The 21,302-nt window shown below is 54.7% G+C and overlaps 2 protein-coding genes across 10 annotated transcripts, besides 6 other annotated features; one reads left to right on the top strand and one right to left on the bottom strand.

Annotated features, from left to right (window-relative positions):
- Nucleotides 3,755-3,934: an enhancer, noted in NCBI's record as "active region_10688". NCBI's record gives its function as "activates an Ori minimal core promoter by ATAC-STARR-seq in GM12878 lymphoblastoid cells {active_cell/tissue: GM12878}" and the evidence as "EXISTENCE:reporter gene assay evidence [ECO:0000049][PMID:35858748]".
- PPP4C (protein phosphatase 4 catalytic subunit) lies at nucleotides 5,033-14,415 on the top strand. Of its 6 annotated transcripts, none has more exons than NM_001303503.2 (9): nucleotides 5,033-5,139; nucleotides 5,354-5,514; nucleotides 10,298-10,349; nucleotides 11,523-11,573; nucleotides 11,785-11,886; nucleotides 12,433-12,606; nucleotides 12,694-12,820; nucleotides 13,705-13,894; nucleotides 13,972-14,415. In NM_001303503.2, exons 2-9 carry the CDS (start codon nucleotides 5,417-5,419, stop codon nucleotides 14,099-14,101), a joined length of 924 nt encoding a protein of 307 aa, NP_001290432.1. In that variant the 5' UTR covers nucleotides 5,033-5,139; nucleotides 5,354-5,416; the 3' UTR covers nucleotides 14,102-14,415. The 6 variants fall into 6 exon arrangements, with proteins under 6 accessions (NP_001290432.1, NP_001290435.1, NP_002711.1 ...); NM_001303506.2 differs by having other exon boundaries at nucleotides 5,033-5,133; nucleotides 10,239-10,349; NM_002720.3 differs by having other exon boundaries at nucleotides 5,033-5,133.
- Nucleotides 5,307-5,446: a silencer, noted in NCBI's record as "silent region_7351". NCBI's record gives its function as "represses an Ori minimal core promoter by ATAC-STARR-seq in GM12878 lymphoblastoid cells {active_cell/tissue: GM12878}" and the evidence as "EXISTENCE:reporter gene assay evidence [ECO:0000049][PMID:35858748]".
- Nucleotides 5,557-5,646: an enhancer, noted in NCBI's record as "active region_10689". NCBI's record gives its function as "activates an Ori minimal core promoter by ATAC-STARR-seq in GM12878 lymphoblastoid cells {active_cell/tissue: GM12878}" and the evidence as "EXISTENCE:reporter gene assay evidence [ECO:0000049][PMID:35858748]".
- Nucleotides 14,539-14,703: a silencer, noted in NCBI's record as "fragment chr16:30096821-30096985 (GRCh37/hg19 assembly coordinates)". NCBI's record gives its function as "represses an EF-1alpha promoter that drives an FKBP-Casp9 reporter gene in an ReSE screen in K562 erythroleukemia cells {active_cell/tissue: K562}" and the evidence as "EXISTENCE:reporter gene assay evidence [ECO:0000049][PMID:32094911]".
- TBX6 (T-box transcription factor 6) lies at nucleotides 14,832-20,963 on the bottom strand. 4 transcript variants are annotated; one of them, NM_004608.4, is made up of 9 exons: nucleotides 20,912-20,963; nucleotides 20,115-20,280; nucleotides 19,797-20,031; nucleotides 17,982-18,249; nucleotides 17,732-17,878; nucleotides 17,584-17,654; nucleotides 15,817-15,890; nucleotides 15,551-15,734; nucleotides 14,832-15,477 (listed from the first exon to the last, which is right to left on the bottom strand). In NM_004608.4, the coding sequence occupies exons 2-9, from the start codon at nucleotides 20,230-20,232 to the stop codon at nucleotides 15,264-15,266; spliced, it is 1,311 nt and encodes a 436-aa protein (NP_004599.2). In that variant the 5' UTR covers nucleotides 20,233-20,280; nucleotides 20,912-20,963; the 3' UTR covers nucleotides 14,832-15,263. The 4 variants fall into 4 exon arrangements, 3 of the variants coding, with proteins under 3 accessions (NP_004599.2, XP_011544228.1, XP_047290507.1); XM_011545926.4 differs by lacking the exon at nucleotides 20,912-20,963 and adding an exon at nucleotides 20,499-20,573; XM_047434551.1 differs by lacking the exon at nucleotides 20,912-20,963 and having other exon boundaries at nucleotides 20,115-20,573.
- Nucleotides 19,427-20,300: an enhancer, noted in NCBI's record as "H3K4me1 hESC enhancer chr16:30101709-30102582 (GRCh37/hg19 assembly coordinates)". NCBI's record gives its function as "activates a minimal SCP1, AML or CMV promoter by ChIP-STARR-seq in naive H9 embryonic stem cells {active_cell/tissue: H9 hESC(naive)}" and the evidence as "EXISTENCE:reporter gene assay evidence [ECO:0000049][PMID:30033119]".
- Nucleotides 20,953-21,212: a silencer, noted in NCBI's record as "silent region_7352". NCBI's record gives its function as "represses an Ori minimal core promoter by ATAC-STARR-seq in GM12878 lymphoblastoid cells {active_cell/tissue: GM12878}" and the evidence as "EXISTENCE:reporter gene assay evidence [ECO:0000049][PMID:35858748]".

Consider the following 21,302-nt stretch of genomic DNA (forward strand, 5'->3'; position numbering starts at 1 on the left):
TGGCACGATCTTGGCTCACTGCAACCTCTGCCTCCTGGGCTCAAGCGATTGTCCTGCCTCAGCCTCCCAAGTAGCTGGGATTACAGGCTCACGCCACTATCGCCTGGCTAATCTTTGTGTTTTTTAGTAGAGGTGGAGTTTCATCACATTGGCCAGGCTAGTCTCCAACTCCTGACCTCACATGGTTCCTCCACCTCAGCCTCCCATAGTGCTGAGATGATAGGCGTGAGCCACTGCGCCCAGCCAATGCTTATCTCCTTAATCTACACTATTGAGTTTTCTGTTTTCCCATCTTTTTTTTTTTTTCTTTTTGAGACAGTTTCGCTCTTGTTGCCCAGGATGGAGTGCAATGGCACGGTCTCTGCTCACTGCAACCTCCCCCTCCCGGGTTCAAGTGATTCTCCTGCCTCAGCCTCCACAGTAGCTGGGATTACAGGCGCAAGCCACCACACCCGGCTAATTTTTTATTTTTAGTAGAGACGAGGTTTCGCCATGTTGGCCAGGCTGGTCTCGAACTCCTGACCTCAGGTAATCCGCCTGCCTCAGCCTCCCAAAGTGCTGGGATGATAGGCGTGACTGCGCCTGGCCTGTTTTCCCATTTTAACAGGAGATGGAATTAGAGAGGGCTTCTTAGTCTCCTTTGGGCTGTGGAATCCCATAAAAACCTTGAATTGTTTCCAATACCCCCTTGGTAATGCAGATACAGAAGTTAAGCTGTAGAGCTCAGGCTCCAGGTGAAGAACTGTGTCTCTGTAGCTGCTGCTTTCCATGAAGCTAGAATGAGCGTGCCATGCCATTACTTTGAGCCTTTCCCCAATGACCCAGGCTGGGGTGTACAGTAACTACATCAGCTCTCTGGACCTAGAGAATCTCTGCAGTGATTCAGGTAGAACGGAGTTACCTAGAACCTTCTAGGAGTATAAAAACTTGGTCCTAGGCCGGGTGCGGTGGCTGACGCCTATAATCCCATCATTTTGGGAGACCAAGGTGGGCGGATCATGAGGTCAGGAGTTTGAGACCAGCCTGGACAACATAGTGAAACCTTGTGTCTACTAAAAATACAAAAATTAGCCGGGCATAGTGGCGCACACCTGTAGTTTCAACTACTTGGGAGGCGGAGGCAGGAGAATTGCTTGAACCCAGGAGGCAGAGGTAATGGTGAGCCGAGATTGTGCCACTGCACTCCAGCCTAGGCAACAGAGCCAGACTCCGTCCCAAAAAATAAAAATAAAACTTGGTCCTTCCCTTTTCTGCTTATTTTGCTTTTATTGCTTACATCTAAAACAAAACCAATCACTATTATCCCTCTAAACTTTGGATTAATTTGTCTGCCTAGCTCATTCAACTCTGGGAAACAAACACTGAAGTAAAGCAAATAAAAATTGAAGGTCGGTAGAAGATGGCAAAGGGGGCATTCCAAAAGGGAACATGTGCAGAGTCTCAGAGACTGGAGAGATTGTTTAAAGATCAATAGTTTCAGCCGGGCACGGTGGCTCACAACTGTAATCCTAGCACTTTGGGAGGCTAAGTCCGGCGGATCACGAGGTCAGGAGTTCAAGACCAGCCTAGCCAATGTGGTGAAACCCCCGTCTCCACTAATAATACAAAAATTAGCTGGGCATGGTGGCGCGCGCCTGTAGTCCCAGCTACTCGGGAGACTGAGGCAAGAAGAGTCGCTTGAATCTAGGAGGTGGAGGTTGCGCTGAGCCAAGATTGTGCCACCACACTCCATCCTGGGCAACAGAGCGAGACTCCGTCTCAAAAAAAAAAAAATAAAAAAGACTAGAGAAGCAGAGAACGTCATATACCAGTTTGGGGGATTTGGACTTTTATTTATTTATTTATTTTGAGACGAAGTCTCGCTCTGTAGCCCAGGCCGGAGGGCAGTGGCACGATCTGGGCTCACTGCAACCTCTGCCTCCCGGGTTCAAACCGATTATCCTGCCTCAGCCTCTCCAGAGTAGCTGGGATTACAGGTGCACGCTACTGCACCCGGCTAATTTTTTGTATTTTTAGTAGAGACGGGGTTTCACCATGTTGGCCAGGCTGGTCTTGAACCCCCAATCTCAGGTAATCCGCCTGCCTTGGCCTCCCAAAGTGCTAAGATTACAGGCGTGAGCCACCATGCCTGGCCTGGACCTCTTAATTTTATGATAATCTGAGTTCCCGAAAGAGTAATTGATAGAAAAAAAAACTACACCTGAGGACACAACTTTCTGAGTTCAAATTTCTTTTTTTTTGAGACAGCATTTCACTCTGTTGTCCAAGCTGGAGTGCGGTGTCACAATTTCGGCTCACTGCAACCCCCGCCTCCTGGGTTCAAGCGATTCTCCTGCCTCAGCCTCCCAGGTAGCTGGGACTACAAGCGCATCACCAAACCTAATTATTATTATTTTTTATTTTTTAGGATAGACAGGGTTTCACCATGTTGGTCAGGCTGATCTTGAATTCCTGACCTCAGGTGATCCACCTGCCTCGGCTGCCCAAAGTGCTGGGATTACAGGTGTGAGCCACCACACACAGCCAGGTTCAAATTTCTTTCTTTTTTTTTTTTGAGACAGAGTCTCGCTCTGTTGCCCAGGCTGGAGTCCAGTGACGCAATCTTGGCTCGCTGCACGCTCTGCCTCCTGGGTTCACGCCATTCTCCTGCCTCAGCCTCCCAAGTAGCTGGGACTACAGGCGCCCGCCACCACGCCCAGCTATTTTTTTGTATTTTTAGTAGAGACGGGGTTTCACTATGTTAGCCAGGATGGTCTCGATCTCCTGATCTCGTGATCCGCCCGCCTCAGCCTCCCAAAGTGCTGGGATTACAGGCGTCAGCCACCGCGCCCAGCCCAAGTTTCTTATTCTTTTTGTTTATAGACTGGGTCTCACTCTGTTGCCCAGCCTGGTCTTGAACTCCTGGGCTTAAGTGATTCGCCTCGGCCTCCCAAAGTGCTGGGATTACATGCTTGAGCCACCACACCTAGCCCCGGATTCAAATTTCAGTGTAACATCCCCAATCCACTGTTATACAAGCAATGAACAAGTTATTTAACCCCTCTGAGCCAGTTTCCTCCTCTTAAAAAAGGCACAAAACTTAATAGAAAGCAACTAAGAAGCCAGGCACGGTGGCTCAAGCTGGTAATCCCAGCACTTTCCGAGGCCGAGGAGAGTGGATCACCTGAGGTCAGGAGTTCGAGACCAGCCTGACCAAAATGGTGAAACCCCGTCTCTATTAAAAATGCAAAAATTAGCTGGGCGTGGTGACGGGTGCTTGTAATCCCAGCTACTCAGGTGGCTGAGGCAGGAGAATTGCTTGAACCCAGGAGGCGGAGGTTGCGGTTTGCCAAAATCGCTCCACTGCACTCCCGCCTGGGCGACAAGAGCAAGGAAGGCTCTGTCTTAAAAAAATAAATAAATGAAAATACAAAAATTAGCCAGGCGTCGTGGCACATGCCTGTAATCCCAGCTACTTGGGAGGCTGAGGCAGGAGAATCGCTTGAACCTGGGAGGCGGAGGTTGCAGTGAGCCGAGATTGTGCCACTGCACTCCAGTCGGGGTGAAAAAGCAAGACTCCGTCTCAAAAAAAAAAAAAAAAAAAAAAAAAGAGGCCGGGCACGGTGGTACACGCCTGTGGTACAGCACTTTGGGAGGCTGAGGCAGGTGGATCATGAGGTCAGGAGATCGAGACCATCCTGGCTAACACGGTGAAACCCCGTCTCCACTAAAAAATACAAAAAAATTAGCCGGGCCTGGTGGCGGGCGCCTGTAGTCCCAGCTATTCAGGAGGCAGAGGCAAGAGAATGGCGTGAACCCGGGAGGCGGAGCTTGCAGTGAGCCGAGATGGCGCCACTGGACTGCAGCCTGGGCGACAGAGCGAGAGAGTGAGACTCTGTCTCAAAAAGAAAAACGGAAGCAACTAAGAAATGTCAAGAGTGCCATTTTGGAATCAGAGAAGTCATGCTGACTGAGGCACAGGCTTGGCGTGGGAAAAGTGGACTCCAATCTGTTAACTTCTGAAGTTGTCCACGGCAAATATTTCTCTGACGGCACAGGAAGAGATCTGAACTTGGCTTCCCTCATCCATTGAACAAGTATTAACAAGTATCTATATATGCCTACCGTGCCAGGCCTTATTCTAACCACTGGGGCTGCAATATTTAAAAAGACAAAGTTGGATCCTCCAAGGACTGTGGTGGGGAAGGCTGACAAAACAAGTAACAAAAATGTGTAACATTAAAAAAAAAGTGTAATGTTAAAAAAAAAAAGTGTAATAAAGTTACAAAGCCTAGCCCCAGCTCGGCTTGTTTCCCTAGCTGAAATGGGGGATGGCCGGGCGCGGTGGCTCACGCCTGTAATCCCAGCACTTTGGGAGGCCCGAGGCGGGAAGATAGCTTGTGCCCAGGAGTTCGAGGTCACAGTGACCTATGATAGCCCCACCGACTCCAGCCTGAGCGATAGAGCGAGACCCTGTCTCTAATTTAGAAAAAAGAAAGTTGTGGCCGGGCGCGGTGGCTCACGCCTGTAATCCCAGCACTTTGGGAGGCCGAAGGGTGGTGGTGGGTGGGGGCGCGGATCACCTGAGGTAGGGAGTTAGAGACCAGCCTGACCAACATGGAGAAACCCCGTCTCTATTAAAAATACAAAATTAGCCCAGCGTGGTAGCGCATGCCTGTAATCCCAGCTACTCAGGAGGCTGAGGCAGGAGAATTGCTGGAACCCGGGAGGCGGAAGTTGCGGTGAGCCGAGTTCGTGCCATTGCACCCCGGCCTGGGCAACAGCAAAACTCCGTCTCAAAAAAAGAAAAGACAGTTGTTTAAACATTTTTATGAAATGATATGGGAGGGGACTGGTCTAGGGTTTCTAATAGCCTCCACATCGCCCAGCGGCAGAGCCCACAAAACTGCCACTGGCCGCCACCGGGTTCCTCCACCTCCTTCCCGATCTCAGGCTGGAGAAGTGGTGCAGGGGTCGCTGCGAAAGGAGAGGAGCGTGTATGACGCCACATCCGGCGCGCGGCGGAACTGGCCTCCTTTGCTTCCGCGGCGGGGCCGGAAGTAGGAGCGGCGGCGGCGGCGGCGGCGGCGGTCGAAAGCGGAGTGAAAGAGGGAGGCAGGGAGCCGGAGAGCCGGAACCGGAGTCGCAGCGGCGGTAATAGTGCGAGACTCCTCTAAGTCACCGTCCTTAGCGCGGGACCGCGGGGTTCGACGGGAGTTAGCGGGGGTGCGGCCAGGCCGTTGGACGCCGGGGGGTCCTGGGGCCGATGTGAGGGGAGGCGGGGGTGGGGGAGCCGGGCCGGCTCTAGAATCGAGTTGTCCGCTCCGAGCCCCGGACGGACACTGATCCGCGGGCTCGTCTTGGCCTTTCCCAGGAGACCCCTGTGCGGTGCGGAGGGGGCGGCGGCCCCGACTCTGACCCGCGCCGGGGGTGGGCCATGGCGGAGATCAGCGACCTGGACCGGCAGATCGAGCAGCTGCGTCGCTGCGAGCTCATCAAGGAGAGCGAAGTCAAGGCCCTGTGCGCTAAGGCCAGGTGAGCTCGTTGGCCCTGGGGAAGGGAGGCCAAGCCGCCGCCCACGGGTTCTGGCCTGGGGCAAACCCAACTGAGAACTTTGGGCTTGCCTCGTTCTGGAAGCTTTCCCAGAGAGGAGCAGGATGGAGCCGCTGCCCTCGAGGAAAAGCTAGCCTGCTCGGGGAAGACAGAGTGGATAAAGACACTTAAAGTTTATTAGACGATGTGTTTCCAGTGGAGTAAGAGTGTTACATAAAGTACTTAGGAAACTCAAGGAAACAAGTCCATCTGTCGGGGGACGGAAGCTTGTTGGAGGGGGGCCGAACTGTGGGAGAGGCCTCGAATAAGGAGGTGGTAAAAGAGTCAGCCAAAAACCAAAAGTTTAAGACAGGAAAGTTAAAGACCCTGTGATTTATAAAAGTCTTCTAATTACAACAACCCTTAAAGATTGGTGGTATTGTACTCATTTTACAGGTGGGAACTTTCATGTTCAAAGTTACCCACAAGTAAGGAATGGGGTCTGAAGCCAGCTCTTAGTGTCCTGTCCTTTTTCAGGCCATAATGCAAAAAGGTGGAGTTGGATCATTCACGTTCAGGGTGGGAGCCTGAGAAATCGTAGCAAGTAAGCCAGGGTAGAATTAAGCACGATAGGGAGGCCAGTTCAGAGTTCTGTGGGAAGTAGGATGATGTAGTGGTTAAGGCTCTAGGTTTTGCAGTGTGAGATGGCTCTAGGTTTGAATCTGAACTCTGCCGCTTTCTAGCTGTGTTAGTAATCTTAAGTGTCTTTATTTGTAAAGCAGAATTAATAGTACTTAATAAGATGATTGTGAAGATTCAGTGAGTTGGTGCTGGAGATGAGGTTAGCACAGTGTTTTGGTACAGCATACGTGCTTGATAATCACCAGGTATTCTATTTCTTTTGGAAGAGGGCAATAATGAGATGGGCTAAAGCCATCAGGGAGGGCTTTTGAGTGGAGGTAGGCCTTGAAGGATGAAGATAATTTGGCTAGCTGATGGAGGCAGGGCCAGTGAGGGAAGGGCATTCCAAGCAGGACGAATGTAACAGTGGAGGCCCTGAGATGCGTGGGGAACAGTCAGGGGTTTAATTACCTGCCTCCTCTGGGGAACTGTGTGATTGTGGCTTCTACCAGGCTGGAGAATTGTGGCAGAAGAGCCCACAGAATTACCCTACGTTTATTGAACAGTAAACATTGGCCTTTACAGGGCCACTATTTGGCCTGGCCCGGTACTGGCAAAAAACTTCTATCCATCTCTTCCCCCCAGCAATCCTATGAGGTTGGAATCATTTGCTGCATTTTATCGAATAGGAAGCCATGACTCGTAGAGGTCTGGTGACTTAACTGAGGTCACCCACTGAGGACGTGGCAGAGCTGGGTCCTGAATCTGTGGCCCTCAGGCTCTTTGCCTGGCCCTGCCTCACATAGACTACCTGCAGCCAGACAGGGCCTGTGAGGGGATGATGAGCAGGGTCGGCCTCTTTTTCGCCACCTGTCTGTGGCTTTTCTCTTTTGCCAGCTGACCAGACCAGCCCCATGGTGTTTTTAGTTGTCCCCTTTCCCTCAGTCCTGATTGGCATTTTTAGGAACTTAAACCTGTTGTTGCCTGGCACTATTCTTTAACCTCGAAGTATTGTCTCCCTCACGGGCCCTGGATCAGTGTGGTGGTGATGGTAGACAAAGCTTAGATAGCATGCTGGAGTTTGCAGAATAGCAGGAAGTCGTATATTCAGTCTCCATGGCTCCTTGCAACAGCCTAAGGAATACGCAGGGTGGGCTGAGTACTTAGCCCCATTTCATAGCAGAGGAAACTGAGCCTTTGAGTAGATAATGTCTTGCCCAACATCACGCAGCTAGTCGGAGGGGAAGTTAGTTTTGCATCCAGGTCTTTGACTGTGCTCCGTGGTCACTGAGAGCCAGGCAGAGGCATTTAGATTTTGATGTGGGGTGTGAGGCAGCAGGAAGCCATGGAAGGCTGAGGGGTGGAGGGTCCTGCCCAGTTGAAACTGAGTGGAACTAGGAGGTACTAGGCCAAGGCCTGAGTTGGCCGCTGTTGTCCCAGGCTCAGTCTGAAGCAGGGCCATCTCTGATACCTGGTTATGGCCTCCTGGGGACCCATCAGAGACCCAGGCTGAGGCTGGTGGTGTCAAGAGCACCAGCTTGCCTAGAGGGCACAGACATGCAGATGAAACCAGTGGAAGCACAGAGGTCCGCAGTGTCTGAGCTGAAATTGCTGCTACTAGAAATATTAGCACAGTAGGAGAGCTGAGCTTTTGAATCAGGTGGTCTTCAGTATGAATCTTTGCCTTGTCACCTAGAAGCAATATGACCCTCGTCAAGTCACTTTCTGATTTTTTGAAGTGATAATGACATGCAGTTGAGAGTCCGGGTATCCGGGCACAGGGCCTGCTGCGCTGGTAGCCGTTACTGCAGGCAGGTCCTGATAGGGCTGGGGAAGTGCTGCAAGTGGCAGAACTGGGGCTGGAATCTGGGCCTGATTCCCAGGCCACACTGGGGTTGCGCTGGCACTGAGGGGGGCTTTGCAGAGAGCACGGGCCCTGCATGTGACCTCCCTGGGCTTCAGGTTTTCACTCAGGGTCTGTGGAAGGGGCTGGCATAAATTCTCAGGAAATTGGGCTTCTGGGTTCCAATTTAGCCACTCTCCAGCTTGGTGACCTTGACCCTCCCGCTTTTCTGTAAGCTTTGGTTTCTTTTTTTCTTTTTTTTTTTTTTTGAGACAGAGTTTTGCTGTTGTTGCCCAGGCTGGAGTGCCAGTGGCCTGATCTTGGCTCACTGCAACCTCCACCTCCTAGGTTCAAGTGATTCTCCTACCTCAGCCTCCCAAGTAGCTGGGATTACAGGCACGCGCCACCATGCCCAGCTAATTTTTGTATATTTACTAGAGACGGGGTTTCACCATGTTGGCCAGGATGGTCTCAATCTCTTGACCTCATGATCTGCCTGCCTTGGCTTCCCAAAGTGCTGGGATTACAGGCATGAGCCACCGCGCCCGGCCTAGCTTCGGTTTCTTTACTGTTACGTGAGGCTGAAGAGAACCTCCCCAGTCTGTTGGAAAGGTCACTATGAGCAGTTGATGGGGAAGGATGTTCAGCACAAGAAGCAGTGCAGGTGGGAGAGTCCGGGTACTGATGTGGCCTCTTGGACCACCGCCAGTGCTGCCTTCTGTTCCCAGAAAGCCAGGGCAGACCTCCTTCGTGCTGCCTCTGCCATACAGAGCAAGGGGCATAAGTGAATCCTCCTGTCCACTGAGCTCAGGAAACTCATTCTAAGGGAAGAGATTGGCAGAAAGAGGGGGGCCAGGCGAGTTGGGCCTCCCACATCAGAATATCTTGATAAAGAGTCAGACCCCAGAGCCAGGCTTCCCTGGTTCATATCCCACCTGTGTCACTGGCACCAAGCCAGCCTCCTTCCCTGCTTCAATTTCTTCATCTGTGTACCGGGAATCATCATAGTACCTGCCTGCCAAGCTCTTAATAACATTTGTGGCACACAGTATGAGCTCGAATGTTCACTGCTGCTATTACCAGGCAAAATTTGGAAATACAGTGTTGCTTAAATTGGGTATCTATAGGCTGGGTGCAGTGGCTCACATCTGTAATCCCAGCACTTTGGGAGGCAAAGGTGGGTAGATCACTTGAGGTCAGGAGTTCGAGACCAGCCTGGGCAACATAGTGAAATCTCGACTCTACTAAAAATACAAAAATTAGCTGGGCGTGGTGGTACATGCTTCTAATCCCAGCTACTCGGGAGGTTGAGGCAGGAGAATCACTTGACCCAGGAAGCAGAGGTTTGCAGTGAGCAAAGATGGCGCCACTGCACTCCAGACTGGGCAATGGAGCCAGACTCTGTCTCAAAAAAAAAAAAAAAAAAAAAAAATTGGGTGTCTTACCTGGCAAAGTGATTTCATCTCCTGCTCACTCAAGTAGAAGTAGACTGCACTGCAAGGAGAAATAAAAAATATTTAAGTCCTCATAGTCATAAAGAAATACTGAACACATGGCAAGAGCACCTCACTTTTTTTTTTTTTTTTTTGAGATGAAGTCTTGCTCTGTCGCCCAGGCTGGAGTGCAGTGGCGCGATCTTAGCTCACTGCAGCCCCCACCTCCCAGGTTCAAGCGATTCTCCTGCCTCAGCCTCCCAAGTAGCTGGGATTACAGGCACGCGCCACCACGCCTGGCTAATTTTTGTATATTTAGTAGAGACAGGGTTTCACCATGTTAGTCAGGCTGGTCTCAAACTCCTGACCTCGTGATCTGCCCACCCTGGCATCCCAAAGTGCTGGGATTACAGGCATGAGCCACCGCACCTGGCCAAGAGCGCATCACTTTGAAGGCGCATCCACTGTGGGCCTGCCCTGGGCACCTACCCTTGTGTCTGGATAGCCTGGGAGAAGGGCTCTGTGATTGGCCAAGGGTGACTTAAGCTCTGCTGTGGAGAGGATGGGGAGACCCGCCTCCCAGGAGTGAGTCCTGGATGCGGAAGAGGGAGCGGCAGGGGGAGTCAGGGCTGGAAAAGTCCCAGCCTGCTCAGAAGGCCTGGAACGCTGGGATAAGAGGTTGGACTTTGTCCTTTTGGCAGCAGGGGGCCACGGAAGGGTGTTGCATGCTGAAGGGCCGTGGTCAGCCTGTTTTGGGGAGACTGTACGCTTCACTCCTGCCCCCTGGAGCTTCCAGGACTGCCTCATATCCTCCCCTCCCCCCAAAAAAGGTCAGGAATTGGGCTGGGCTGGCCTGGCTGTGGTGACCCTGGTCTTCTCCTGTCTCCAGAGAGATCTTGGTAGAGGAGAGCAACGTGCAGAGGGTGGACTCGCCAGTCACAGTGAGTACCTGCTGTCCCTGCAGAGCCAGGCCTGGTCTTTCAGGCACATGAAGTTTCCTCTTCATCTTGGGGGCTCTATAAGCCCAACCCTAAGCTCTTTTATCTGTCCTTTCCCTCACCTTCAACGGAGCACTGCTAAAAGAAGTGGGGGTTGCTGTGCACGTTGGCTCACACCTGTGATCCCAGCATTTTGGGAGGGCAAGGTGGGCACATCACTTGAGGTTAGGAGTTCGAGACCAGCCTGGCCAACATGGTGAAACCGTTTCTACTAAAAATACAAAAATTAGCCACGCGTGGTGGCACGTGCCTGTAATCCCAGCTACTTGGGAGGCTGAGGCAGGAGAATCGCTTGAACCCCAGAGTTGGAGATTGCAGTGAGCTGAGATCAGGCCACTGCACTCCAGCCTGGGTGACAGAGGGAGACTCCGTCTCAAAAAAAAACAAAAAAAAACAAAAAAAACAGGCCGGGCGCGGCGGCTCACGCCTGTAATCCCAGCACTTTGGGAGGCCGAGGCAGGTGGATCATGAGGTCAGGAGATCGAGACCATCCTGGCTAACATGGTGAAACCCCATCTCTACTAAAAATACAAAAAAATTAGCCAGGTGTGGTGGTGGACACCTGTAGTCCCAGCTACTCGGGAGGCTGAGGCAGGAGAATGACGTGAACCCAGGAGGCGGAGCTTGCAGTGAGCCGAGATCGCGCCACCGCACTCCAGGCTAGGCGACAGAGTGAGACTCCGTCTAAAAAAAAAAAAAAGAAAGGAAAGAAAAGAAAGGGGTTATGGGAAGGGACTTTGGATTTGTTAGTGGAGATTCTTGGCCAGGGCAGAAGGACTCCTATTTGGCGAGTGATTCTGCTCACATATCTCCAGGGCTCTGTGTTAGTAACTTGATTCTGGGTACTTTGTGGGGAGTAGAGAGAGGAAGGGGCCGGGACATCTACCTGGAAGGACTTAGTTCTAGCTCTTGCCTACAGAATAGTTGGTACTCAGCATAGGACAGTGGGTATGGTTCCAGACCAGACTGACTTGGGGTGGGAGAGGAGAATTTTGGTCCTAGGAAGTAGAAGTGCAGCCAAGAGTGATAAAGCTCACTAAAGCAGCGGGTGTTTGGAGGGTAGTCCCTGGCAACTCCCACTGCTTGAGTTCCAACCCCACTCTTCCTGTTCCCCAGGTGTGCGGCGACATCCATGGACAATTCTATGACCTCAAAGAGCTGTTCAGAGTAAGAGTGTGGCCAACACTGTGAAATGTAACGGGGGGATGACTGGAAGACCCCTGTAATTGAGGGTGGGAGCCTTAATTTGGGGCGTGGAGTGGGGGCAAGGGGCCCCAAGTTAGATGGGTGGTTGTGGAAGAAGGGCCTCCGCTGGACAGAAACAGGTAGGGGGTAGGGGACTGTTTACGACAGGGCAAAACTTTCTACTTCCCCACAGGTAGGTGGCGACGTCCCTGAGACCAACTACCTCTTCATGGGGGACTTTGTGGACCGTGGCTTCTATAGCGTCGAAACGTTCCTCCTGCTGCTGGCACTTAAGGTGGCAGTCCCCGGCTTCTGCACCCCCAACCTGGGCGACCTCGGGCCGGGCCTGTCTTAGTCCGTTCCGCCCTCATCTCCTATCGTGACCAGCCCCACCTTGGAGCTGTGTCACTGGTGATGGACCGATTCTGCTTTTGGGGGTGGTCAGAGACTTGATGGGGGTTGAGGCCAGCGGGGCAGCATTCTGGGAGGGGCAGAGGCTCACTGTTGCGAATGTGGCAGGTCATTGATGCCACTGGTGGGAGAGGCAGTGTGGGGCCAGATGACAAAGGGCCTGGGTGCCTTGCTAGGGACCCGGTCTGTGTCTGGTAGGTGAAAGAAGAGCCATTAGGTTCATAGTTGAGGGAATGGGTCAGCTTTACATTCTCTGGAGGGGTCGTGTGGGCCTGGGAGGTGGCTGATGCCACACGATTCAGGCAAGAGGTGCCAGGAGTGTGCTGGGCAGTGGTTGTGAGGATGGCAGGCTGGCGGGCACGAGGAGGTCAGAGAGGGATGTGTGGAGAGACCGTCTAGGCGCCAGCCCTGGCTTGGTGGCCACCCCCAGGTTCGCTATCCTGATCGCATCACACTGATCCGGGGCAACCATGAGAGTCGCCAGATCACGCAGGTCTATGGCTTCTACGATGAGTGCCTGCGCAAGTACGGCTCGGTGACTGTGTGGCGCTACTGCACTGAGATCTTTGACTACCTCAGCCTGTCAGCCATCATCGATGGCAAGGTAAGCCAGCCCAGGGCTCCATGGGACAGGGAGAGGAGGGGGGCTTCAGGCCTCAGCCCCGTCCTCTTTCCCTGCTCTCCCCTGTAGATCTTCTGCGTGCACGGGGGCCTCTCCCCCTCCATCCAGACCCTGGATCAGATTCGGACAATCGACCGAAAGCAAGAGGTGCCTCATGATGGGCCCATGTGTGACCTCCTCTGGTCTGACCCAGAAGGTGAGGGCATGTGGGCAGGGGCAGGCAGGGACAGCCAGGAGGGGTTGGGAAAGAGAGGGAGCAGGGCTGGTCTTCACTGTCACTCGTCCTCCACCTGCCAAATGGCTGGAACCCTGGAGGAGGAGCAGGGAGGCCTGCATGGCAGGTGCTTTGAGCACACAGTGGCTTGGGGCATGGCCCAGAGGGCTGTGGAGGACAACCAAGTCATGGCTCCCTGAAGTGAAGGGGCCTTAGAACATGACAGCAGCTTCTTCAGAGGTCAGAACCCCAGAATGGTAGCCCCCTGAGACCCCTCATTTTGTGGGTTTTCCACTAGTGTAGAGCAGAGCTGAGATTTAAAGTCAGGTCTTCTGAGGACCAGCCAGAGTTCCTGTTGTCACAGGCACACACGCACAGGCAGCCTCTGCTCCAGCGCAGACACACACACACATACACATAGCCTCTGCTCCATCACAGCCACACACACGCACACGAGGCCTCTGCTCCATCACAGCCACACACATACAGACACACACATGCAGACACACACATGCAGCCGCTGCTCCACAGTCACTCCGGACCTCCCTGTGACAACACAGGGTGCCCTTCTGTCTCTGGGAGTGCCCCTTTCACTCTTATGTGCTGTTTGGACGGGGATTGTATGATCACTGTGATTATGAGGGGGCCCCAGGCATTGGGCGTTCTTTCTCCTCTGGAGCTTATCTGCCCCTACATTTGCTGTCCTGGTCCCCGCCATCCCACAGACCATATTCAGGCCCCATGCTCTGGTCCCACGGGCCTCTGGTGGACTTGGGGAGGGGCCAGGCTGCTCACCCTCAAGGGGCAGCGCTGGCAGCCAGAGAAGCCTGAGGACATCCCTCTCCATCCCTCCCTTTCCGCATCAGACACCACAGGCTGGGGCGTGAGCCCCCGAGGAGCCGGCTACCTATTTGGCAGTGACGTGGTGGCCCAGTTCAACGCAGCCAATGACATTGACATGATCTGCCGTGCCCACCAACTGGTGATGGAAGGTTACAAGTGGCACTTCAATGAGACGGTGCTCACTGTGTGGTCGGCACCCAACTACTGCTACCGGTGAGCCGGCTGGGCCGGGCTGGGATGGGCGGGCATCTGAGCCGAGCTGCTCCTGACCCTGCTGCCCCGCCTTCCAGCTGTGGGAATGTGGCAGCCATCTTGGAGCTGGACGAGCATCTCCAGAAAGATTTCATCATCTTTGAGGCTGCTCCCCAAGAGACACGGGGCATCCCCTCCAAGAAGCCCGTGGCCGACTACTTCCTGTGACCCCGCCCGGCCCCTGCCCCCTCCAACCCTTCTGGCCCTCGCACCACTGTGACTCTGCCATCTTCCTCAGACGGAGGCTGGGCGTGGGGGGGGCTGTCCTGGCTCTGCTGTCCCCCAAGAGGGTGCTTCGAGGGTGAGGACTTCTCTGGAGAGGCCTGGAGACCTAGCTCCATGTTCCTCCTCCTCTCTCCCCACTTGAACCATGAAGTTTCCAATAATTTTTTTTTCTTTTTTTCCTTCTTTTTTCTGTTTGTTTTTAGATAAAAATTTTGAGAAAAAAAATGAAAAAATTCTAATAAAAGAAGAAAAATGGTTTTTGGGTTTGTGCCAGACTTGGTTGGGAATGCACAGGGTTGCTGGCCTGGGACCTGGGGTGGACGTCAGGGCCTTGACTGCCTCAGGGCCCCGACCTGCCAAGAGGGCCAGGCTCAGGCCAGTCAGCTTGCCCAGGGCCTCCAGGGGCCGCTGCCTGCTGGCTTCCCCAGCCCTAGGGAGAGGGCTCTGTTCTCATGGGCAGCCTTATCTTATTAACAGCATACACACACAGGCACACACAGAATCACAGGATTCTGATTTCTCCATTTTCCTGAAGAGGAGATGGGCCTAGAGGGCCAGTGGATTTTGTGCTAGGTCAGGCAGCTGGAAACACAGGTCTAGATCTGGGCCTGGGTCTCCTAGCAAAGCCTTTGCTCACCCAGCCCCGCCCAGGGCCAAACACAGGAGCCCAATGTTTCCTGAGCATGGATGGCTTTTGAGTTTTATTAACAAAAATACTCTGGTCCCAGAACAACAGACTGGTGTGGCCTGCACCAGTGTGTGTGGGGGGGTGGGGATTGAGCCCCTCCAGAGCCCATGGGGAGGCCTGGTAAGTGGGGATGCTGGTCTGTGGCCCCATTTGGCCAGGCAGAGCCCCTTCCATTCACACGGAGGTGAGAGCCGGGAAGGGGAAGCCGGCCCCAGCTGGACTCCCAGCAGCCTTGGTTAGGCTTTGAAGCCAGAGGGGGGTGGGAGTGAAATCAAGGTGTGAAGTTGAGGGGGTGGGTGGGCAGGCCCAAGGCGGCCATTTGGTGTGGGGGATGGGGCCGGTGGAGGTGAGGGGGCTCCAGGGCTGGGGGAAGGGAGCGGGAGGTTTGTGATGGAGGCAGAGGGGCCCAGCAGTGGTTCAGTACATGGGTTTGGAGCCCACATCCAGATAGCCCCCAGGCGCGGTGTATGGTAGAGGGAAGGGGCCCCCTTGGAGAAAGTGCGGGGCAAAGGGTACCGCCGGTGGAGCCGCTGGGTACCCGGAGCCCCCTGACCCGTGCGGCAGCTCCAGAAATGCAGCCGAGTAGGGGGCTGAGCGCCCGGAGTCTGGAGCCTCCGGGAAGCTGGGGCTCCTGACATGGAGAGAGGGATGTCAGAGCAGGGCAGAGGGACCCGCAGCCCCGCCTGGTCCCCTGTCCCACTCACCTGGTGGGAAGGTGACTGGGGGCCCCATGGAAAGCCGCAGGGTGCAGGAGGTAGGCCTCAGCACTGGGGCCACCACACAGAGGTGCCGGGGCAGCGGTGGCTTCCCCGGGGGCTGGGGCCTGTTCTGGATCTGATTCACGAATGTCTCCACCCAGGGTGGAGTCGCAGGGACCACCTGGTGTGTCTGGGGAGAGGGAAGGGAGAGGTTGGGCTAGGGAGGATCCCTGTCTCAGGCCTGGCCCCATCGCCATCGGGACTACACTCACCTCCGCTCCCATAGGCCTCTGTGGCTGCTGGCTCTGGGCCCCGCAGTTTCCTCTTCACACGGGCGTCTCGCTCCCTGGGGAACAGTGGTGGTGATGATGATGATGATGGTGATGGCCATGGTGATGGTAACAGTACTTACCCGGTGCCAGGCATTTCACCCTCCCAGGGACCCTGTCAGGTAGGGGCCATCATTATACCCATTTTATAGATGAAGAAACTGAAGGCCAGAAAATTAAATAACTAGAAAGTGGCAGAGCTGGAATTTTGTCCCTGCTCAAATTTGTCCATGCTTTCCTATTGTGTTTAGTATCAGTGGAAACTCCTTCCCAGTGGCAAGGCCAGGGCACAGTCTCACCTAGCTCATCTTTCTGCCCCATCTCCACTCTCAGCCTCTCTCTGGAATCCTCTTCTGTCCCCTCTTCACGGGCTGAACCTGTCCTTTTTCTTTTCATTTTTAAAATTTGAGATGGGGTCTTGCTATGTTGCCCAGGCTGGAGTGCAGTGGCACAGTCACAGGTCACAGCTCACTGCAGCCTCCAACTCCTGGGCTCAAGTGATCTTTCCATCTCAGCCTCCGAAAGTGCTGGGACTACAGGCATGAGCCACCAAACCTATCCTTGCCTCACTGCAAGCGCAAGTTCCTCAAGGAAGTCCTCCCTGACCTCCGAGAGCACACACCCCTCCCTCATAACATCCGTCACAGTTCTGCTTTTGCATTTGATGGAGTGACTCCTTGGTTCATGTCTGTCTCTTCTGACAAACTGGAAGCTACTTGAGGGCAGGGGCCAGCTCTGAGGTGCTGCACTTGGAACAGTTCCCACGGCCTTACGGAACCTTTACTGTCCGACATAACCTGGCTTCCCCTCCCCTGCCTGACTCTTAGTCACTCCACTGCAGCCACGCCACAGGCACAGCCCCACCTCAGGGCCTTTGCACGTGCTGTTCCCACTCCCTAGTGTGCTTTGCCAGATGCCCACCTGGCTCCCTCCCGTACTTCCTTCAGCTCTTTCTCAAGTGTCTTCTTCCCACTGAGGCCTTTCCAGGCCTCTTATCTAATACCTCACCCCAGTCCTTCCTATCTTTTCCTGGTTTATTTCTCTTCTCCTTTTTCTTTTTTTTCTTTTTTTTTTTTTTTTTGAGACAGAGTTTTCTTTTCTTTCTTTTTTTTTTTTTTTTTGAGAGGAAGTTTTGCTCGTGTTGCCTAGGCTGGAATGCAATGGCATGATCTCGACTCACTGCAACCTCCACCTCCTGGGTTCAAGAGATTCTCCTGCCTCAGCCTCCCAAGTAGTTGGGATTACAGGCGTTTGCCACCATGCCTGGCTAATTTTTGTATTTTTAGCAGAGACAGGGTTTCACCATGTTGGCAGGCTGGTCTCGAACTCCTGGCCTCAGGTGATCTGCCCGCCTCAGCCTCCCAGAGTGCTGGGATTACATGCGTGAGCCACCACACCTGGTCTCTCTTCTCTTTAGAATGGCTTCCTAACAGATGACATTTTATTTATTTCTCTTGTCTGCTTGTCTACTCTCCCCACTAGAAATCAGCTGCATGAGGGCCGGGGCTTTGGTTTGCTTTGTTTGTTTTATCTCCAGTGCCTGGAACTGTCCCTGGCACATAGCAGGTACTATATAAGTATTTGCTGAGTCAGTGAATGAATGTTTTCACTTACCACTGCATTTCTGATGTCCAGCACGGTGCCTGGCACACAGTGAGTGATTAATAAACATTTGTTGAATGCATGAACAAATGAATGAACAACTCCCACCTCTTACAGTTTCTGCCGTTCTCCCGGAAGCCTTTGGCAAAGGGATTGGCTGCAATCTTCAGTTGTGTGATCTGGGGACACACATGCAGGGTCAAAGCAACTGCGGTCTGGGCAGGGGGCCACCACCCCCTCAAGCAGGGTCACTCACCTGTGGGTTCTGGTAGGCTGTCACGGAGATGAATGTGGTCTCGGGGAAGCGGAAGGAGGCCATGCCCCCCCAGTGCTGGCTGCAGAGCTGGGCTGCCCGAACTAGGTGTATGCGGGGTTGGTACTTGTGCATGGAGTGCAGGATCAGCTGGGAGGGAGGAAATGGGAGTGATTCCCTGCCCTGCGCCTCACCCTTGGCCTCCCTTCCAGCACCCCCCAACCCTATCCTGGAGTCCCAGCCTGGGCCTCACGTGGCCGTGGGGGTCCAGCGTGCTGTTGGTGAGCTTGACACGATGGAAAGACACAGGCTGCCGCATCCAATGTGCACCAGTGGCAGGAGAGTCGGGGTGAATGTAGACACGGTCAGGCAGGCGGGGCTCTGCCTTGCCGCTGGGCTCCCAGCGCCGGCCCTGCCAGCGGTAGCGAGCCCCATCCACCGGAATCACATCCAGAAGAAACAAGTAGCGGGCCTCGGGGTCCAGGCCAGTGACTGACACTCGGCAGGCAGGGAACATGCGCCTGTGCAAGGGAGGGGACAGGAGAGGCCTGGAGCTACCCACTGGCCAGGGGTGGGCCCAGCACCAGTAACGGGACATAACAACGGGCTCCCCAGAGCTGTCAGAGAAACATCAAAGGAGGTGGAATTAGAACCCAGAGGGCAGGCTGGAGGCTGTGGCTCACACCTCTAATCCCTATACTTTGGGAGGCCAAGGTGGGAGGATCTCTTGAGTCAGGAATTCAAGACCAGCCTGGGCAACATAGAAAGACCCCATCTCTACAAAAAAATTAAAAAATTAGCCAGGCATGGTGGTGCACACTGATAGTCCCAGTTACTACAGAGGCTGAGGCGGGAGGGTCACTTGAGCCTGGGAAGTCAAGACTACAGTGAGCCACAATTGCACCACTGCACTCCAGCCTGGGCAACAGGGCAAGACACTGTCTCTGAAAAATGAAAAAGGGCCAGGCGCAGTGGCTCATGCCTGTAATCTCAGCACTTTAGGAAGCCGAGGTGGAAGGATCATGAGGTCAGAAGTTTGAGACCAGCCTGGCCAATATGGTGAAACACCGTCTCTACTAAAACTACAAAAATTAGCCGGGTGTGGTGGTGTGTGCCTATAGTCCCAGCTACTCGGGAGGCTGAGGCAGGAGAATCGCTTGAATCCAGGAAGCAGAGGTTGCGGTGAGCTGACGAGATCGTGCCACTACACTCTAGCCTGGGCAACAGAGCGAGACTCCATCTCAAAAAAAAAAAAAAAAAAAAAAAGAAGCCAGAGGGCGGAATCTTAGAGCTGGAAGGTTTTCTTGTCTCATTTTACATTTGGGGAAACAGGACAGACGGGTTAAGTGATCTGTCACACAGCAGGTTAGGAACAGAGCCATGACTCCTACCCCTCAAAGCCTATTTGCAGAAGCAGGGGTGACTAACTTTCTTGCTAGGAGCTTCCTGTCCCCACCCTCCTCTCCTCCCCTGATCTCCAGCACCAGAATCTGCAGCTCTTAGATGAATTTGCTTTAGAAAAAATATACCCTGCCTGCAGTAGGGCCGAGGACTTTCCATGCTAGGGCTTGAGTTCCTGCCCCAGCTAAAGACCTCATCTAAGGTCAAACACTGACCGTGTCCCTGCCTCTAGGGTGACCCTGGACCTAGTCATATACTGACTCCTATTCGAGTTGCATACTGATCCCGAATCCTGGCCAGATTTCCCTGATGCTGGTCAATGGGCTGGCCCTTGACCCCCTGTCCTTGTCTGGATGCTGGTCTAAGCCACACACTAACCTATAACCCAGAGGGACTTCCTGACCCTGCCCCAGACTGACCCATGACCCTTGCCATAGATTGGTCCCTAAACTCAGCCACAGACTCCACAGACTGGCCCTTAACCCTTGTCACAGAGTGACTCCTGATTCCTGCCACAGAGTAACCCTTGCCCCAGGCCATAGTCAGATTCTAGGCCTAGGCAGAGCTCTAGCCCCTCGGGAACCACCCAGTCCTAGCCCCCTCCCCAGGGACTCTGCCTTTCCCAAGAGACCCCCACCAGAAACACGGACCCTGGCCAGCCCCTCACCTCCCAGCTTTGGTGATGATCATTTCTGTTCCCACAGAGCTGAACTCCTTCCATAGCTCCCGGTTCTCCAGGCTCAGGCTGACCCCCGGGAGGGAATGGAGGGCCTCTGGAGCTGATGGGGCCGGCTCAGTGCCCATGGCAGGGGGCAGAAGGGGCAGAGGTGGGTGCGCGGCCAGGGTGCGGGGAGCAGCCTCCATCCCGGAGAGGAAGCAATCCAGTTTAGGGGTGTCCAGTTCTGGAAGCCGGGGAAGAATGAGGAGCCAGCCGAGGGCCACAGCCCCCCTATTCTCCTACCCAGGAGCTGGTCCCAACGCTCACCGGGGTAGCGGTAGCCCTCCGCTAGGGCGGGTGGGAAGCTGGAGTCGGCCCCAGGTTGGGCGGGCCCCAGGCGGTAGCCGGCCCCCAGGGACGGGTACAATTCTCGTGGATGGTACATGTTGTAGTTCCGTCTGGCCTCAGGTCTCGCTGCTTAGGGCCCCCGGTGCTGCGAGATGCCCCCTTTATAGCTCACAGCTCAGCCCCTTCCAGATCCAGGATCACAGCCCCTCCCCTCTTTGGGGCCCTGGAGTTGGGCTGGGGTGGAGACCCCTGGGGCCTCGAAGGGGTCCGAGAGGGGGTCGGATACCTGGGTACGGTCCCCTCCTCCCCTCCCTCCCCACCCCGGGAGGCTTCATTAGCCTCGACCCCCTGCCCCCTCATTACATAATTAACTCCTCGGCTTGATTGATCCCCAGGGCTCGGACAGGGACGCAGTTTGGCGCTTCCGGCCAGCTGGTCCCCGTTCCCACGGTGGGGAGCCCCGGCTAGGGATAAGCTGGGGGGCGGGGCCTGGAACCTGGACGGAGCCAAGAGTCCCGGGACACACCTTGGCGCCCCAGACCTTCTGGCAGGTGACCGCCCTCCGCCCCCCTTCACTTGGAGGCCGGGCCCTGGAGGGAAGCAGCGTGAACAGAGGGAAAGTGCAGGCTAGAGGGACGCGGCCTGAGCTGATTTCACAGGGCACTCGGGGCCGCGAGGAGGCCGCAGCCCAGTCCCGAGCACCGTAGTCCTCCCTGGTCCCCATGCTAAAAAAACCTCCATCCCGAGCCAAGCCTCCAAAGTTCGAAGGCGCTCACAGTCCGACAGCTTCTGACGCCTCGCGCCAGGGTTTCCCGAAGGTCCCGCGCTGGGGAACCCTCGGAACTACACTTCCCGGCAGGCTCAGCGCTGAGGCGCGCCCGAAGGAGCCGGACGGACCACGCGGGGGCCGCTGGGAGTTGCAGTCCGACCGCGAGGGGGCTGCGAGGCCGGCGGCGCGGTTGCCTCCCTGGGACGCTGCCCCTAGGCGGCGGCCAAACGCTGCAGATGAGCAGACGCAGATCAGCCGAGGTCACGGCGTAGGCAGCCAGAGTGGGCTCAGGACCTCCGCCAGCAGTGAAACCGTCCCGGTTCCCGGAGACCCAGCTTGGACGGCTGTGCCTACCCCATGCCCCGCCGGGGCTCAGAACCGCACAGGTCTATAGGGGC

This window comes from Homo sapiens, chromosome 16 (genome assembly GCF_000001405.40).
Source record: "Homo sapiens chromosome 16, GRCh38.p14 Primary Assembly".
Classification (NCBI taxonomy): Eukaryota; Metazoa; Chordata; class Mammalia; order Primates; family Hominidae; genus Homo; species Homo sapiens.

What these genes read in the sequence shown, in the direction of transcription:
- TBX6 (NM_004608.4), bottom strand. Translation starts at nt 20,232, where the DNA reads ATGTACCATCCACGAGAATTGTACCCGTCCCTGGGGGCCGGCTACCGC. An exon ending in ATCATCACCAAAGCTGGGAG is followed by an intron (nt 18,250 to 19,796) that starts GTGAGGGGCTGG and finishes TCCCTTGCACAG; the next exon opens with GCGCATGTTCCCTGCCTGCC. An exon ending in CCCAGTCACCTTCCCACCAG is followed by an intron (nt 15,478 to 15,550) that starts GTGAGTGGGACA and finishes TCTCCATGTCAG; the next exon opens with GAGCCCCAGCTTCCCGGAGG.
- PPP4C (NM_001303503.2), top strand. Translation starts at nt 5,417, where the DNA reads ATGGCGGAGATCAGCGACCTGGACCGGCAGATCGAGCAGCTGCGTCGC. An exon ending in ACCTCAAAGAGCTGTTCAGA is followed by an intron (nt 11,574 to 11,784) that starts GTAAGAGTGTGG and finishes ACTTCCCCACAG; the next exon opens with GTAGGTGGCGACGTCCCTGA. An exon ending in CCTCTGGTCTGACCCAGAAG is followed by an intron (nt 12,821 to 13,704) that starts GTGAGGGCATGT and finishes TTTCCGCATCAG; the next exon opens with ACACCACAGGCTGGGGCGTG.